Source organism: Homo sapiens, chromosome 2, assembly GCF_000001405.40.
Source record: "Homo sapiens chromosome 2, GRCh38.p14 Primary Assembly".
Taxonomy (NCBI): Eukaryota; Metazoa; Chordata; class Mammalia; order Primates; family Hominidae; genus Homo; species Homo sapiens.
The window spans coordinates 173,220,337-173,239,186 of NC_000002.12; the positions used below are offsets into that span (position 1 = coordinate 173,220,337).

The following is an 18,850-nucleotide window of genomic DNA, read 5'->3' on the forward strand; positions in this document are numbered from 1 at the left end:
CCACTGTGAGTGGTGACATCTTAGAAAAAAGTTCGGTTGAAAGAAGAAAACTTGAATATTAGAGCGTATTAGAACAATCTAAATTAACACTATTTTCCTTTCTTCCCAGTTTTCATGTGTTTACATACTTACGTCTAACTTAAATGTGAGACAGAATCTAGAATTTGTTCACAAGTGAATTATTTAATAATTTGAATAAATAGTATTACATCAGTTCTGGCTACAATAAATAAATAAGTGGAAGCAAGTGAATTCTAGACTAATTTTTAGTGTATATTCAGAGTACTAATCCAGATAAAAAGGGAGTTAATAACCCACATTTCCCTAGAACTGTATAGACTGCTGAACTGTTTTTTGTGCTTCCTCTAAGCTTTTCTTTTGGGTACAAAGTTTCTTAATTTTTCATTTGAGATTTAATCTCTGCTTAATTTATTTTTTTAAAAATATAATGGTCAACTAAATGTTTCCTTATGAAAGTGAAATTGGGAAAAGTCAAGATAAATCCTAGAAACTATTTTGTTTTAAGCAAAATGAGGGCTTAAAACTTGCAACTTCTTTTCCATTTGAAATTTGGCTTGCTGTGGTGCTTTGCAAACTTTTGGTTGTGATTTATCCTGTCATTCATAAATTATGGCAAATATGCTGGAGCCAAATCTGCCATTAAATAAATTCTCACATAATTCCCTACATTCATTTATTTCACTAATCATTTACCTCCTGTGTAGTGCCAACTAATTTTGTGGTATCTATTTTCCTGATTTAAATTGGTCCTAATTTCTCTTTTTACTTCTGTCCTTTCTTCCCTTTTGATAGCTTCTCTTGCCTCTTGCTGCAAGAATGTCTGAGGAGTCTTACTTTGAATCTAAAACAGAGGAGTCAAACAGTGCAGAGATGTCATGTCAGATCACAGCAACAAGTAACGGGGAGGGCCATGGCATGAACCCAAGTCTGCAGGCCATGATGCTGATGGGCTTTGGGGATATCTTCTCAATGAACAAAGCAGGAGCTGTGATGCATTCTGGGATGCAGATAAACATGCAAGCCAAGCAGAATTCTTCCAAAACCACATCTAAGAGAAGGGGGAAGAAAGTCAACATGGCTCTGGGGTTCAGTGATTTTGACTTGTCAGAAGGTGACGATGATGATGATGATGACGGTGAGGAGGAGGATAATGACATGGATAATAGTGAATGAAAGCAGAAAGCAAAGTAATAAAATCACAAATGTTTGGAAAACACAAAAGTAACTTGTTTATCTCAGTCTGTACAAAAACAGTAAGGAGGCAGAAAGCCAAGCACTGCATTTTTAGGCCAATCACATTTACATGACCGTAATTTCTTATCAATTCTACTTTTATTTTTGCTTACAGAAAAACGGGGGGAGAATTAAGCCAAAGAAGTATATTTATGAATCAGCAAATGTGGTGCCTGATTATAGAAATTTGTGATCCTATATACAATATAGGACTTTTAAAGTTGTGACATTCTGGCTTTTTCTTTTAATGAATACTTTTTAGTTTGTATTTGACTTTATTTCCTTTATTCAAATCATTTTTAAAAACTTACATTTTGAACAAACACTCTTAACTCCTAATTGTTCTTTGACACGTAGTAATTCTGTGACATACTTTTTTTTTCTTATAGCAATACACTGTAATATCAGAAATGGTTGGCCTGAGCAACCTAGTAAGACCTCGTCTCTACTAATAATTAAAAAACTAGCTGGCATGGTAGCACACACCTGTAGTCCCAGATACTTGGGAGGCCAAGGCAGGAGGATTGCTTGAGACCTAGCAATCAGTCAGGGCTGCAGTGAGCCATGATGGCACCACTGCACTCTAGCCTGGGCAAGAGAACAAGATCCTGTCTCAAAAAACAAAAAAAAGAAAGAATTGATAGTACAAAATCCAACAACAATACTGAGATGATCTAAGAAGGTTATAACAAAATGCTCTTCAGAAATACCTAAGTGCTGAGAATTTTTAGTACTAAAGAGCACAGCTGCTCAAAGTAAAGCCTGAGCAGTGTTCTCAGTAATGTATTTGAAGGAAAAATACCCTGATTTGAAACCAACAGCAGATGTTGCAAACTTTCATACCACTGCTGGCCATGGAAGCCTCTTAACAACACACTGTCATTTAAGGCTGTGCTTGTGCTTTATACAAAGAGAAAGAGGTGGTCTTAAGGGGATGCTTCCAGGGGGGTGAGTTCATGCCTCTCCTGTATTTTCCAGCAAGTGGGGTATGTGTGGTGGTTTGTTTTTTAGAGGGGCATAATAATCCAGGATTCTAAGCATATGCTCAGCTATTTTAAAGAGGAAATTAAATATTATAAAAGAAATAGTAAAGATAAGTTATCCTCACTTAGGCAAAAGCACAGGTCCTTTCCATATCAAGTTTAGCCTACCAGGGTTGTTTTTTGTTTTAACCCTGCTTAATAATGTTGGTGTTTTAGAAGTAGATACAGGCACTGCTCTGAAAACCTGGCTAGCCAAGGATATTCTCAGAATGTTATCACCTGTTTGTCAAAGCTTGTTTAAATTATAAAACACTTTTAATTATATATATGAGGCAAAAGAACTAAGACTTTTTTCAAACTAAATTAGAAAGGAGTGTCATTATTTGACTGTTAAACCAAAATATTTTTGGTGGGTCTTTTTATGGAAGTTTAAAGAAAGGACATCATCATAGATATGATCTAACAGTATTTCTAACTATATTTGATCATTAAAAGCCTCTTGGAATTTGAAGCGTGACGTGTTTCTAATGCCCCTTGAGAGGTGAAAAATACCACATAATGATCAGTATGCTGTGCCAGCTTCATTTGGGGAGAAATAACTAGTAGAAAGTTCTGGGTGTGAGGTGTACAGCAGTCTAGGTGGCATAGTGATGAAGAAAGGGATCAGAGTCTGACTGTCACTCAGAATCCTGGGCTCAGTTGCTTGACAACCTTGGGAAAATTGTTTTATCTTTGTGCGTCTGTTTGCTGATCTTCAGCGTGGGAATAATAACAGTACCTACTTGAAAGGATCATTGTGCGGATTAAAAGAAATAATATATGTAAAGCACTTTAACACAGCACCAGGCCCACGGAAAGTGGCTAATGTTAGCTACTATGAATGGTGCCAGTGAAGACACTGAAAAATAAGTGATTTCAGTAACCTTCTGGAAAGCTATCAGTTTCAAATAATATTTTCTCTGTAGTATGAGATGAAATTAAAAGTGGATAGCTTTCAGGAAAGATAAAGAGAACATGCTTAGAATGTAAGCTAAACAGATTTTTTCTGTTGCTCTTTGAAAACTATGAGCCCTGGCCAGCTTAACCTGGTCTGAGGTGAGACTAAACACAAAAACAGTAGATAAATCTCTCCCTAAAAGATGGATTCCCCCACATACCCATGCTACTAGTTTCTCTGTCTATTCACACATATGTACAAATACATGAACACAGCCTGTCTGTGCTCAGACATAGAGAAGTACTACCTGACTTGAGTCAATGCACCCAAGAAGAAAAGCTTGGAGTAGAGCAGAAGGGAGGGCTTGGGACTCCTGTCTTTCCAGCATGCCCTGGGGTGCAGTGGTCAGCCACCTGAAGAGAGAGCCAATAGCATGGGGTTTACAAGGCAAAGATAGTCATTCATTCAACACATATTCATAGAGCTCCTTCTCTGTGCCAGACACTGTTCTGGAAGATAGCTAGATGAAAATCTTTGCACTCACAGAGCTTACATGCCAGTGAGTGAAGATCGATGATAAATAAAGCAAATGCATCATATGTTCACATTTGATAAGTATATGCCAAAAAATGAAGCCGGGAAGGAGGACAAGGCCCATGGGTGGGTGTTGAGGTTTTTAAAGTGTGGTCAGGAAAGGCCCCACTGATAAGGTAACATTTGAGCAAGTCTGAAAAAGGCAAGGGGATCTTTGGGGCTAACTTCGGGATCCCTGCACTTTATGTAAGAATGTAAACCTGGAGTCTCATTTAAGAATGATCAGCAATACGTTTAGAACATATGAACTGAATGAAATGGACATTTTTTCTTAATTTATGTATAAATCCATATGATTATACATAAAGTTCTGATGCATTAATAAAAGCAGCCAAATAGGGCCAAAGAGAAAAATAACAGGACTCTGTACTGGACCTAACTTTATCATTAATTAGGTAATATTTTCCTCATTTCTTTACTGCTGCCATTTTCCTCACCAGTATTCCAGAGATGGTCATAGCTCATTACTCTACCACCAAGAACCTAAAAGGAATTAGAATACAGCAGAATTGGCCTCAGTGAAGAGCTTAAAATTGTTCTCCTCGTAGAACTGGACTATTGATCATTACCACGTGACGTTGGCTCTATTACTTTCTGTTCCCAATGTCCTTCTAGTGGTTTGAAAATGTTAAAACATCCCTAAAATCTAAATCATATAATCAGAATTCTATAGTGTCCCACTCTATCTGTAAAGATCATTTGGAAGACTTTAGACTCTATTAATTTTAAAAGGAATATTTATTAGCCATATGCAGAATTTCTAATGATGATATTGTACAGCTTCTAATTCACTTTTCAGATCAGTGTTTGAAATGGCAATTATCAGTGTTGGATTTAGTTCCAACTACTTGATTTACAAAAATGTACATTTAGAGGTTAAAAGAAACAGTGAGAAATGTAAACATTCAAAATGATAATTGAATCTCTCAGTTGTGGGAATAATTATCAGAGACATGCAACTGAAAATGTCTCACCTTTCATCTTTTTTTCTTAATTCATAAAGTTATCTTGTAGAATTTGATGAGACCCTCCCTAGTCATTCTCAACTGGGGCGGTGCTGTCACCGAATGGTGTTTGAGAGTGTTGGGGCTAGGGCACATTTTTGGTTGTCACAGCAACTGGGGTGGCATTTGCTGCCCAGTGCCAGGAATAGTAACATTATGAATGCCAGGGACAGTGTGCTCAGTAAAGTCTTCCATCCAAAAGGGGCAGGGCACGGTGGCTCACGCCTGTAATCCCAGCACTTTGGGAGGCCAAGGTGGGCGGATCACCTGATGTCAGGGGTTCGAGACCAGCCTGGCCAACATGGTGAAACCCTGTTGCTACTAAAAATACAAAAATTGGCTGGGTGTGGTGTCACATGCCAGTAACCCCAGCTACTAGGGAGGCTGAGGCAGGAGAATCACTTGAACCCGGGAGGCAGAGGTTGCAGTGAGCTGAGATTGCACCACTACACTCCAGCCTGGATGACAGAGTGAGACTTCATCTCAAAAAAAAAAAAAAACAAAAAAAAACAACCCGGTAGCATTGTCCCTTCCCCACTGACAAACTTATCAAATCCAGAAGCTTTAGAGTTTCGTCTCTAATTATTTTTCTCCTGAACAAAATTACCCAAGTCAAAACAAAATGTATTTTTAGAATTACGGCAGCATACGACCTGAATTTTGTGAGTTTCGTGGCTTTATCTTAAATCACCATTTCCCTAAAAATGGTTTCTTTCTCCTTAGAAATGCTGGTGGCAACTTGATGAAACAGCCAAATGCACCAGGGCAGGTCACTTTCCCATTACACTGATTCCACAATTAAAAAAAAAAAAGAAAAAAAACTCATTGAGATAGCTACAGTTCTATAGGTTAATTTAAAGCCTCCTTTTTCTACTCATTTTTGAAAGCAAAATTACATTTTACTATTTTACATAACCAGTGAAAAGACGTTGAAAGCCTACAGCTCACTGTTTTTGGTGCTCTGGAAATGTTGAGGGTGGGTTTTTAACCAGTGATTTTTAACGTGCAGTGAATTTGTTAGACTTTTAAACACCAGCTAAGGTAGTCAAACTTGATCCCCATTAAAAATCAAGGAATTAGGGGTCGGGGGAGGGTTTAGGAGTGATCCAGAATGACCTCCCAGAATTACTGTGCGTACAACTTTATTTTTCAGAGTTTTCATTGGAATGGTAAGAGTTTTATGAAAGACAGTTTTAAAACTTATTCTGAGTTAAATATTAATACTTTAAAAAATTATTGTACTAGACTTATTGCAGCCTTTTGAAAGTAGCAGAGTTTCATCATACCACATATATAACAGAGCATAAATTTTCTATAATCAGGCACCTTTTGCTGCTTTTGAGTAAGACTGTTTTCCTGTTTAAGTGTTAAGCATCGCCAGACATAAAAATCTATTCTCTCCTCTCGATTGTAGCATAGCCTGACAGCTCTAGATACAGCATTTCTATGATGAAAAATGAGTATCCATCAGGAAATCTAGAAGACTAGCCGTGTTTTCTCAGACTCCACCTTTGTTTGCACTCTGTTGCCTGTGAGGAGCTTTCTGGCATGTGATTATTTACTTCAAAACTAGAGTTCCAAGCACCTACATTAATTATTTTATATTGTGTGCAGAATAGTATATCTTTTAATGTCAGATATGATACACTGCACATATTGCTTTTGCACTCTTAAAATTTTTGTACTAAATAATAGAAAATATTTATATTCTTTGAGTGTGAGCTTTGAATAGATGGCATTATCACTTTATTGTTTTTTTAACAAAAACTTTTTCTCAATTATTCTATTGCAATGTTATTCTGAGCAAGTCCTATGCCAAATATCTTGTATAATGTTTGTATGGAAGATTAAATTTTACTCTTGTGTGGTAAGACTATTTCAGTTACTGATTTTATAGTTGGAATTTGATATTCCAGCACAAAGTCCACAGTGTATTCAGAAATCCAAGTTGGTGTCATACATTTCATTTTGATGTGAACTTTTCTTTGCTTTCCTTTGTTCTAAGACTCCATTTTGCAATAAACGTTTTGACAGTAAATCCCTTTGTTACGTGTTGCTGTGTATATAAGATCCCTGTTAGATTGGATTCCCAACATCCTTTGAAGGAATCGTTGTCACACGCATGCAAACAAGTGTTAGCTTTTCTCTCCTAAAGTCAGTGGGAGTGTAAATAATAAATTTGTAAAGTGATGGGACAGTCATGGGGTGGATTTTTTTTTTATTCCCTAAAGAAAGAAAGGCTTAGAACTCATCCTACAGCAGATACACTGATATGTTAACAAGGTACAGAAAACATAAAGGAAATGGTAAGCCACTCTGTGGCTGGAGATCATTAACTCTTATCCCCCGTCTTGCCAAATTCAAGCTGTCATGAAGCAGTGCCTGGCTCCAGCCTTCCTCTCACTGATCTTTGCTAGCATTGTGCAAAGAATCCTGCTGGAGTGAGCGTCCAGCTGAAGCCAGTGCCTTTCCCTAGGCATCGTATTGGAGAACCATCCTCAGTGTGCAACCAACCCCCTCTCCTTTCAACATTAAAACCAAAGATTCTGGTTGTGATTAGTTATTTCATTTACAACTTCTATTCTATTCAAAAAAATACTTCTTTCTCAATTTTGTTTAGTACAACATTTAGGAATTTTATAAAAATAACACTACACATCCCCTCCCCCCAACCCAGTTTCTATAAAGGTGAGCCTTGATGCAGGAAAATATTTCTGTAACTCAGACTGTTGTTTCTTGAACGAACCAAAAAAGTTTCGTATTTCACATTTGCTTCTGTGATGGGAGAAGGGAATGGCATGATTCTGCAGCTGTGTCCAGCTGCCCTGTGAAGAGACAAAATTGTCACCTATTTTTCTTTGATCCAGTTCAGCTTTAGATTCTGTTCCTCAAATCTTTCTCCTTTCCCCATTATTAAAGCAAGTGAATGTGTGTGATGACTCCTACCCACCTCAAGTGTTTCCGAGGAGGCAAGGGCAACCCTGGAGGGAAGGGAAGCACATGCAGGTAGCAGAGTATACGCAGAACAGGATCGATTTCAGTGTGTACTTTATGTCCTGACAACTTGTCTATAAATACTCAAACCTAAACATTCATATCCATTTCAGCTAGTGGGTTTTTCCGCTTGCCTTCCCACCCTGTCTGCCTCATTTACCCTTTTTCCTCCAACATGAACTCACTGCCTTCCATTCCCATCCTTCCCTCCTGTCCCTCCCTCTCCCGCCATGCCAGGTTTTGCCTTGTTGCTTCTCTTTACCCGGAATCACCTCTCTTCTTGCCCTGAAGGACCCAGCTCAAGCCGTGCTGCCCTCCATTCTCCCATCTTATTTTATGAATCCCTTTGTGAATACATCTGTCTATGGTATACCCATAGACATTGAACTCTATACCAGAGAACTTAGCATTCCAGTAAATGCACCCTTTAATTTTATTCATTCTTTAAAATGACTCAACAAAAATTTACCAGATACCGTATGCCAGGCACTATGTTAGGCATTAAGTAAACCGAGATTCAGGTGACCTTGGAATCCCCCAGGTATAATTTATAACTGTATTAGTCCCAGTTAAATTGAAAGCTCCTTGAAGGCAGGGGCTGTGCCTTTCCTAGCAGAATTTTGAGCATGTGGGTACAAAATACCTGTAAGTTAGAAAGGTTAACTCACCTACCCTATGATTTTTATACTAACAGTAAAAGCAACCAAACTCAACTTTTTTTTGAAACTCACTCACAAGAAAATATTTGTAACAGAAGATGAGTGACAATTTGCCATATTATCTCATAAGCAATTCATTTTTGGGGGGCAAGTTAGGCTAGTTAAAGCTAATAGCTGTACCAAACTCTAATTTGACTTATAGGACACACAGACTTCTAAAAATTATGTAAGCATTTATTATTTAGATGGCCATGGGGCATATATTGAAGACAGTAAGTAGTTCTTTGGCTCTGAAAATGGTGCAGGCTGAAGTCCTCTGGAGGCATCTTCATTTGTACTTGTGAACCTCACAGGGAGGTATTTTAATCTGTTTTAGTTAGAGCAACTCTGCAGCCTGGGTTTCTTAGGACCGTACCAATTTCCCATGTCCTTCTTCATCCGTGAGTGCTAACATTTGGTTTTTAAAATATTGTGCAAATGAGATCTTTCAACACTTAGAAATTCCCCCTTGAGAACAGGCATAATACATGATCTGGTTACTAAGTGGTTGCTTTGGAATTTTCATTAATAATCCAACAGTCCTCATGTTGGCTGAGACTCTGAGGAAGACTCTAGGTCTCTGAGAAAATGTCAGAAATTGCTTGACTGCTGAGGCTTGATTGTGGGATGTAAAAACCAGGTACCAACAAAGGAATATGATACAGCTCCCAAAGTACATGAATTGTTACTGAGAGATTGGTGAACATTACTGGAGCACTGAGAACTGCCTCTTAAGGTCAGGAAAACTGTTTTCCATTCAACCCAACCTGCAGGAGGAACCAAGCCAGAGCAGCAGCTGAGAGCTGAAAGAGTGAGACAAGAGGATGAACCAAAAAGACAATGATAATATTACTTTTTTTTTTCATTTCATGCATATTTCCCATGCAGCTGCTGCCTTCCTTTGAGATTGGTGCATGGACGGAAGACGATGTGGTAAGCTCTTTGTATTCATGCCTTATTTGACTTGAGCAGGTATTTCATAAATTTTTCCCTAAGTTTTTAGGGGAAGAGATTGGGCCTTAGGAAAGTCTAACTAGGAGAGGTTGACAAATTCTTTTCTCACTCTGTCTCCCAGGCTGGAGTGCAGTGGTGCGATCTCAGCTCACTGCAACCTCCACCTCCTGAGGTTCAAGCGATTCTCCTGCCTCAGCCTCCTGAGTAGCTAAGACTATAGGTTCCCACCAGCATGCCTGGCTAATTTTTGTATTTTTAGTAGAGATGGCGTTTCACCATGTTGGCCAGGCTGGTCTCGAACTCCTGACCTCAAGTGACGTGCCCGCCTCAGCCTCCCAAAGTGCTGGGATTATAGGTGTGAGCCACTGTGCCTGGCCTTTTTTTCTGTTTTTAATGCAATAATGATTGAAAATAAAGCCTCAAGAGTAAAGCAAGTATCTCTGCAAATCTTCTAAGTGGGTTCTACCTTCCTAAATTACTCTGAAACTATTCCAGAATACAATAACAAATACCCATGAGGAAATTAAAGTGGCAGCTCGGGAAAACAAATGAACATACTTGAAAAAAAAGTGATATTAAATCTTTTTACAAGAACAGGGATGGCCTCGAGCCATGGTAGAGGAGGATCTGGTCAAGGCAGTGCTGGGCTGGTACACCGCTGAACCGGCTTTCCTTCCACCTCAGGCCTGTTTGAAAGTGAGGCATCATATTTGCCAGCCTTATTCTGGCCTCCCAAGTGGGAATAGACACAAGCACGCCCAGACATTCTCTGTAGCTTTAGCCAGAGAAGCCCTATGTTTTTGAGAGGCTGCACTCAGACTGTTGAAGTCCAAAAGAAGTCCTGCACTCTGCATTCTTGATAGAAACCCTGAGAAACAATCCAACTTAGTCTGTTACATCACCATATCTATTTTTTTAGTGACAAAACAGGTATGAAAATTCCTGATGTGAAAACTCAGAGACTAGGTTGGGCACGGTGGCCTGTAATCCCAGCACTTTGGGAGGCTGAGGCAGGAGGATCACTTGAGGTCAGGAGTTCGAGACCAGCCTGGCCAACATGGTGAAACCCCATCTCTACTAAAAATACAAAAATCAGCCAGGTGTGGTGGCACATGCCTATAATCCCAGCTACTTGGGAGACTGAGGCAAGAGAATCGCTTGAATATGGAAGGTGGAGGTTGCAGTGAGCTGAGATCACACCACTGTATTCCAGCCTGGGCAACAGAGCAAGGCTTCATCTCAAAAAAAAAATTTTTTTTAAGTTCTATAAAACTCAGGGACTTATGCTATCCAGGTCTATTTAACAAGCTCAGGGTATCACTAAATGAAAATGAAAAAAACAAAAGATGTAATGCCAGCCTTAGTGGGTTTGGGCTCCAGCCCAGGGAACAGACCAGGTGCCACAAAGTGCAGACTAGCTACTGGAAACTCCTCAAAAGATCTGTTTACCTAGCTCAACCTGGTTTTGGGCCCAGGCATTTCCCTCTCTGCCCTTTGTATTCTTTTGAAGTGCACCTGCTTTCAACATTAGCTAACCTCTTTGGCTTCCGTAGGGTAAGGAAACTTGGCACCAGTTGCCACTATTTCTTCCCATTCACTGAGCCCCAGTGAGTCTCACTTTCCTGCCAGCCTTGCTTAACAAGGAAAGAGGACTCAGGGTCTCCTTTATTCACAAGCCTGGATATCATCTCTTTATCCCTAGCTGCAGAGTTTCCCCTGTCATTTGAAAAGAAATTTTTGAAAAATCACTGAGTTCTAACAGCTATTTTTAGTCTTTGCTCTGAGGCTGAGTGGCTTCCAGGCCACTTAAATAAAATTCCAGAGTTGAGGGCTCCCCAGAGAATCACAGGGACTGAGTCTGGCCTCCCATCCTTCTCTCCTCACCAAGGTACTGTGAGAGGCCACCAGTAAACCCAGACCCTGTGATATACAGGGACTAAGGGTCACTGGGTCCAATCTCCTCATTCTACATAGGAAGCTCCACACTTTGACTTGGCTGGGGCCACGTGGCTACTTCATGACCTGGCCTAGAACAAAAGATTCCTTCTGTCTGTTGCTCTGTCCACTGCTGTGTGGTCCCTGGAACTCATACAATTCCTGAGTAAACTGGTGCCCCTCAGCAATCCAGGGGACCACTGGCACATAAATGGAAAAATCACTATAAGTAAGAACCCTCTTGAAAGGATTTAAAAATATCTCCCAAAGAAGGAGGAAAACCAAGGGGCTTTTAACTGTCCAAGACCCCCGAAGAGAGGGATATCTCCCATTTGAAAGCTTGAGGTTTTAAAACTACAAAGAGAAAGTCTTCTATTTTACCTTTGTGGTTGAGCCAGGAATTAAAGTTATTTTGATCTATTGAAAACTCTATGTTTACTGTGAAGACTGGCCACTGACCATGTGTGAATCTTCAAAACCGTATGTGTCCTCTCTTTCACAGTATTGTTGGGTTCAGCAGCTCGTCAGAAAAGGCAAGTGGAATAAGTTACCTTCTTCAATCATGGAGTTAACTTTGTTTTGGATGTGATTTCATCTAATTTTATTCTGCTTTCTAATCACTTCCTTCAGGTGACTCTTCAGCAGAGATGAGTGTATATGCAAGCTTGTTTAAAGAAAACAACATTACAGGGAAGCGGCTGCTGCTGCTGGAGGAAGAAGACCTGAAAGACATGGGCATTGTCTCCAAGGGGCATATCATTCACTTCAAGGTACCTGAGAAAGGGACAACATTCCATCAGCAAACCCTTTTTTTGTTTGTTTGGTTTTTTTTGAGGCAGAGTCTTGCTCTGTTGCCCAGGCTGGAGTGCAAAGGCACAATCTTGGCTCGTTGCACCCTCCGCCTCCTGGGTTCAAGTGATTCTCCTGCCTCAGCCTCCCAAGTAGCTGGGATTACAGAAGCGTGCCACCACACCCAGCTAATTTTTGTATTTTTAGTAGAGATGGGGCTTCACCATGTTTTCCAGGCTGGTCTCCAACTCCTGACCTCAAATGATCCACCTGCCTCAGCCTCCCAAAGTGCTGGGATTACAGGCGTGAGCCACCAGGCCTGGCCTCCATCAACAAATCTTTATTGAGCACCTACTATGCAGCAGATCACGTGTTAGGGGCTGCAGATGGAAACAGTGCTATGCTGGTCATTACTGTGCTGAAATGCTTACACAAGTTGATAATCAGCAGCTGCCCCCAGGCACCCCTATTCCTTCCTCATAATCCAAACAGCAAAAAGGTGCATACATGGTATAGTAGGACTCACAGGGAGATAACCTGAATATCACCCCCCTGCCCTCAGGAAGTCTCTAATCTGGTGGAGAAAACAGATACTGCCTATGCGATAATGGTAAATGACGGCTGTAAGAAATACCACAAAGGCAGTGTGGTGCCTGGAAAACAGCCATCCACCCAGAATAGCAGGAGGTGACTCAGTTTAATTCTAGAGAGGACAAAAATCCATCAGGAATCCCTAAGGACCCCAGAATTTCTGCATGGCCAAAGGGAAACCTAAGCCAATGCAGTAACCTAAAGGCATTTGTAATTTTTGTCATTATGACCTGGAACAGACACCACCATGTATGTGTTTTAATCCCCACTTACTCAGGAAGTTCTAACATTTCCCCCAAAACTTAACTGTTAAGTAGTTTCAAAGCTAAACCTCTGTGTTCATTGTGGTGGTCGTGGTCATGGTTGTTTTTTGTTTGTTTTTGTTTTTTCAATTTAGCAACTTAAACTGAGTAAGAATTGCTGGCATCTGTGTGGTCATTGTGACTAATCTTGTTTCAAGAGAGATCTTAGAATAAAATCAGGTTTGCTCCCCAAACCCACCCCCCATTCCAGTGTGGGTAGATGGACGAGTGTGTATAGGTTAGAAAGAAGAGAAACAGAATAAAGGAGAAAATTCAGAAAAGGCAGCCTCCTGTCCAAATCCACACCTTCACAAAGGCTCTACCAACACGCCAGCTAGTCCCTACCTCAGAGCTACCCACAGTGACCTTTCTAGAGAAATCTCCATTAAGGCCCAAAGAGAGCCCATTCATTTCATTCTGTGGACCCTAGGTCCAGGAAGAAACATCCTTACGGACTCTCAGCACCCTTTGCGTAACAGTAACAGCTTGGCACTCACCCACCAGAGACCACTTCCACAACAGAAAGAGGACCTTGCTGTCTTCTCCCTCTTAGAAGAAGGGCAGGAGAACTCATGCATAGCGTATTTCCCAAAGGCTGGCAAAGAATGTAATCCCAGCCTCTGGGTGTGGGCAAGTCCATCCTAAAAGCTATGCTGGCTTAGGTGGGCCACAGTAGGAAAAAGTATTTTCTGCAGTACAGAGATGTTTCAGAGCTCCAAAAAAGAAATTTTGTAAATCTTGTCCTATTTGGCAGATGCCAAATAAGATGCTCCCACCTCCCCTTCCCACCTGCCATCTTTGAAAAGGCCCAGTATTCCTTAAGGATCAGTTCGGAGGAAGGGTGGTGAGCTGGGATATCTCACCAGAAGCCCTCAGTGATTTACATCTTTCCAAGGGTGGCCCTGGATAACCTAAGTACCCCTTTCATGCTGAGCGGTATCATTTAGGCAAGCGAAGTCCAGACTTACTATTTATTGTTCAAAAAATTCAGTGAATGTCTACTAATTGTGAGACTGGGCCTATGAAGATTCAAAGAAACCTGTGGTTAAGGAATTTACATCTCAGAGAAAAGATTAAACGTGCACACAGCATCCCCTTGGCAACTGGGAGGAAAGGACCAATTCATTACCCGGACTTGGGAGAGGCCATGGTGGGAGATGGAGAGGGTAAACTTCACAGAGTGGGTGGCCCTTGAGCCGGATCTTGGAGGAATGACAGATTTTGGAATGTAGACCAGGAAAGGAAAGAACATTAATCTAGACAGAGAGAACAAAGAGTTAAGAGAAATGGAAGAGAATGTGGAGGAACAGAAAAGAGGAGTCCCGACCTACGTAGCATAAGCAGCTCCGTCTGCAGAACACGGGTGATGAGTAGAACGCATGGCACCTGAAGTGGAAGGAAGGTGGGGCCGGATCCTGGACAGCTTACAACTTCAGGCTGGGGGGAAAGAGCTGGAATTTGACCAGCTGTTGGGAGTATTGAGAATTGACAGGTTTACACTTTGCTTCTGGAAGTTTTAAAATGTATTAAAAAGGCAAGGCTGGGTTTTGAAAAAACAGGAGGGTATAAATGTGGAGAATAATAAGCACTGCAGTGTAGCAAAAACGCGAATGGAGAGAAGGGGAAGATGTCACAGGTAAGAGGGCTGTTCTCAGGCTCAAGAAGGAAAGCACAATGAAGTATTGATTGTTGTGGACGGACTGGCTGGGGCCGCTGTCGCAGGCAGTAAAAGAATTTACCAAGACAGTCGTAGGTAAAGAAAGGCAGATTTATTAGAGAAAGTGTGAAGATGTGTTGCAAGGGTGCAATGGGCAGCACAGCAGAGAAGGGGCTGTCTGCCAAGAGGCAGGGGCTTGAGGGAAGTTTTATGGGATCATACTGGAGGGGCTACGTCCAGATAGGGTGTGCAGACGAGGTCATGCTTCTGGAGTTACTTGCAGAATGAGGTATTTGGGAACAGGTTGTTGTGATTGTCTGTGATTAGCCGTCTCTCAGAACAACTGTTATCCCCCACCTGGGACCCCCTCCTCGTTGTTGCTTACTTATTAGGACTCCACACTGATATGTGTGGCAGCATAGATGAGCCTTGAACATGATGCTAAATGAAAGAAGCCAGACACAAAGGTCACATATTGTATGAGACATCCTGAATAGGCGAATCCATAGAGACAGAAAGCAATCAGTGATTGCCAGCTGCTAGGGGGAGGAGGCAAGGGTTCTTGACTGCCTAATGGGAGTAGAGCCCCCTTTGGGGGTGATGAAAATGTTTTGGAACTAGATAGAGGTACTGGTTGCACAACATCGTGAATGTGCTAAATGCCATTCAATTGCCCACTTTAAAATGGTTAATTTTGTGGTATGTGAATTTCACCTCATTAAAAAATAATAATAAAGCAAAGGAAAGCACAGGCACCTCTACACCCTGCCCAAGAGTAGTCTTCTTCCAGCTAGGAAGCTTTCTGTCTTTGGCAGAAAGGATGTGTGTGGCCAGGAAAGTGAAGAGGAAGACAGGAATATCTGTCCACAAAGTAGGAAATGAGGAGAGAATGCTGTTACAAAAGTCAAACGTTGGAAAAGCTTTAAGATAGAATCGGTGGTCGAAAGGGTCTAAGGGCCAGGCACTGTGGCTCAAGCCTGTAATCCCAGCACTTTGGGAGGTCAAGGTGGGCAACTCACTTGAAACCAGGAGTTCAAGACCAGACTGGGCAACATGGCGAAACCTTGCCTCTGCAAAAAATGCAAAAATTAGCCAGGCATGTGGTGCACACCTGTGGTGGTCCCAGCTACCTGGGAGGTTGAGGTGGGAGGATCGCTTGAGCCCAGGAGGTTGAGGCTGCCATGAACTATGATTGCACCACTGCACTACAGCCTGGGCAATAGAGTGAGACCCTGTCTAAAAAAAAAAAAAAAAAAAAAAAAAGGCAGGGACAGGGGACAGGGGTCTAAGCTTGCAGAGAAGCCAAGGAATATGCAGAGAGAAAAAGCCCTGTTGGAAGCAGCCACTTAAAAGTAAAAAAAAAATTATTTGACCCACTAGAGTGGAGTCAGTGTAATGTTCTCTTTTTATGACCTCTGCAGAGGGTCTGCCCAGAGCTCCAAATGAAGGAGTAGCCTGCATCTGTTGGGGGACCTAACACTGCCCTCAAACTCCTGAGTGAGTCTGCACTCAGTCATTCTAAAGACAGTCATTCACAGAGGGGCAGTCTCCAAAGTGTGGAATGCGGACCCCTCCCCCTTACTGCCAAGGCTGGGGCTGTATGTAAGAATGGCTACCCAGTGGGGGCTCAGCCAACAGGTGACCACTAAACTCAGCCAGAGCATGGGGATTTCCAACAAGTTTATATGAGAGGGAAAGATAAAGGGAAAGGGTCATGTGCACTTACTCTAGGAGGGCCCTGCATAGACTCTCAATTAAGATAAGTAATGCTCCAAGCTGGGCCTTTGGGGATGAGTAGCTCCACGCTGGAGGAGTCCTCCTGGTCCTTGTCAGAAGTGTTTCTCACACACAGCCTGATGGTAAGAATGCATCCTTCCTTTATTCTTTGTGCTTTCACTGAGGAAGGCACAATTGTTGTGTACTTTCTCCAAGAGTCTCTCAGTCCTTAAATGGTAGGTGATCAAACTGGACAGTGGAGCAGTATATCCACCTTTTTTTTTTTTTTTTTTTTTTTTTGAGCTGGAGTCTCACTGTGCCGCTCAGGCTGAAGTGCAATGGTGCGATCTTGGCTCACTGCAACCTCCGCCTCCCGGATTCAAGCGATTCTCCTGCCTCAGCCTCCTGAGTAGCTGGAATTATAGGCGCAGGCTACACCACACCTGGCTAATTTTTGTATTTTTAGTAGAGACAGGGCTTCACCATGTTGGTCAGGCTGGTCTCGAACTTCTGACCTCATGATCCGCCCACCTCAGCATCCCAAAGTGCTGAGATTACAGATGTGAGCCACCGCACGCGGCCCCCACCCATTCTTTTCCTTTGTGTTTGTCCCTCCCTTTAAGCCTGACCATGGCTCCCTTCTTCTCTGAGCCTGCAAGCCCTCGTGTGGAGGAGTAGAGTGTAAGAAGTAGGACTGAACACCCAATAAGTGTTCATTACATTGTCAGCTGTCAACAGTTTTTATTTTGCTTTAAAATAAAATGCATCTAATTTTCTCAGGTTGGTACTTTTTTACTCTCTCTGCAATCAGTTCTTAGAAAATCTGAACTGTGCCTGCTGAGTATCCAAAAAATCATCATTTAAATTGTCTTCCTTTCCTTTCAGATTTGTGTTTCATTGGCAGAGGGGATGTTGGACACATATCCAAAGAAATGTTCTTATAATGCAATCAACCTTTTAGTGAGATTCTAGCCTTCCTGAAAGTCTGGTGTTATGTGCTGTGCTGCTTTGCTCACTGTTATTCAGAGTGGCACCTGCATTCTGTACAACAGAACATCCACTTCTCAGTACTATACTCTGGCGGCGTTTGAAAAATTGTTTTATTTATTGCTTAGTCTGAGGTTCAACATCTTTAAAATGTCTTCTTTCTTGGCCTCATCCCTGTAATCCCAGCACTTTGAGAGGCCAAGGCAGGAGGCCAGGATTTCAAGACCAGCCTGGGCCACAAAGACCCCATCTCTACAAAAAATAAAATAAATTAGCTGGGTGTGGTGGTGTGTGCCTGAGTCCCAGCCACCTGGGAGGCTGAGATGGAAGAATCTCTTGAGCTCAGGAGTTCAAGGCTGTGGAGAGTTATGATAGCATTACTGCACTCCAGCCTGCACGACAGAATGAGACCTGGTCTCCAAAATAAAAAATTTTTAAAAATTTCTGGTCCTTTAAATAATTACAAACCACCTACACTGCTTTGGACAATGAGATTTATTCTAAATAGACGTTGGATATAAATGCCCCCAAGATATTTTATGAACTAGGTAAATAAGGAATGTTTTTGTTTGTACCCAATGATTTTAGTCTTCTCTTGGTATTACTGGATCATTAATAAAGTCATATGATTTTTTTTACAGTCAGCCATTGAGAAATTAACCCATGATTACATAAATTTGTTTCACTTCCCACCACTAATTAAGGTAAGTAAGGTTTTTCTTACCGACACTAATGCTACCTTTATTGACACATGCACCTGCTGCATCCACACCTAAATTTGCCAATGTCAGTAATGGTTGTTTGAAGTGAAATTTCATCATATCTGTCTAACAAAAGGCCCTTTGAAGCAAGGGAAGTGTATAAATTGAACACCCTTGTTCCCCACAAGTTGAAATATTAACAATTTGTTCATGATAAGAACAACACACCTTACTTTAGTGGCTAGGAGTTGTAAGTGCCAACATTATCGGTGAGGTCCTGTGGCCTCCCACCTGGCCCTGGATACTTTTCAACATGTAAGTCACTGAGAGAATTCATACCCTGGAGCGCTCGATCGTCAACTTTCATAGGGGATGGGAGGTTTACTGTTTGAATAACATATTAGTATACTTAACATTTTGAATCTAGTTTAAAGGAATATGGCATACTTTGTTTAAAATCAGCAAATACTTGCAATTCATACACAGAACTTTACTTATTCACTAACAGCTATAGTTTTTCATCTCTAAGCCCTCAAAGACTCGTTTTGTTCCTCTGCTTCATCCTCCATCCACATTTGCATCCTCCATCCACTGCGTAATCCGTCTTTGGGAATAGCTTGTAAATGCCCTGGGTATTGTGAACCTCTGAAGTTGAAATCTCACAATGCATCTCTAGGTGCTAAGTGCATTTCTAGGGTAAAATTGCACAATGCAAGATGCACTGTGATAAATGTAAGACAGTGACATTCAATTT

The 18,850-nt window shown here is 41.4% G+C and overlaps 1 protein-coding gene and 1 long non-coding RNA gene across 9 annotated transcripts in view, besides 1 other annotated feature; one reads left to right on the forward strand and one right to left on the reverse strand.

The window, feature by feature from the left end:
- The window catches only part of MAP3K20 (mitogen-activated protein kinase kinase kinase 20), a 192,499-nt gene that overhangs the window by 144,820 nt on the left and 28,829 nt on the right, over nucleotides 1-18,850 (forward strand). For 4 of the 8 annotated variants that reach the window (XM_047444746.1, NM_016653.3, XM_047444747.1 and 1 more), the window contains exons 12-15: nucleotides 9,353-9,397; nucleotides 11,856-11,886; nucleotides 11,984-12,123; nucleotides 18,037-18,099. In XM_047444746.1, coding sequence (XP_047300702.1) covers nucleotides 9,353-9,397; nucleotides 11,856-11,886; nucleotides 11,984-12,123; nucleotides 18,037-18,099 — 279 coding nt within the window. Of the gene's footprint in view, nucleotides 1-813; nucleotides 6,811-9,352; nucleotides 9,398-11,855; nucleotides 11,887-11,983; nucleotides 12,124-18,036; nucleotides 18,100-18,850 lie in introns of those variants that run through there. The other 4 variants (XM_017004324.2, NM_133646.3, XM_047444748.1 and 1 more) reach the window with 1 other exon arrangement.
- The window catches only part of MAP3K20-AS1 (MAP3K20 antisense RNA 1), an 84,325-nt gene that overhangs the window by 22,625 nt on the left and 42,850 nt on the right, over nucleotides 1-18,850 (reverse strand). The gene's annotated exons all lie outside the window — the stretch shown is intronic.
- Nucleotides 1,786-1,885: an enhancer, noted in NCBI's record as "active region_16764". NCBI's record gives its function as "activates an Ori minimal core promoter by ATAC-STARR-seq in GM12878 lymphoblastoid cells {active_cell/tissue: GM12878}" and the evidence as "EXISTENCE:reporter gene assay evidence [ECO:0000049][PMID:35858748]".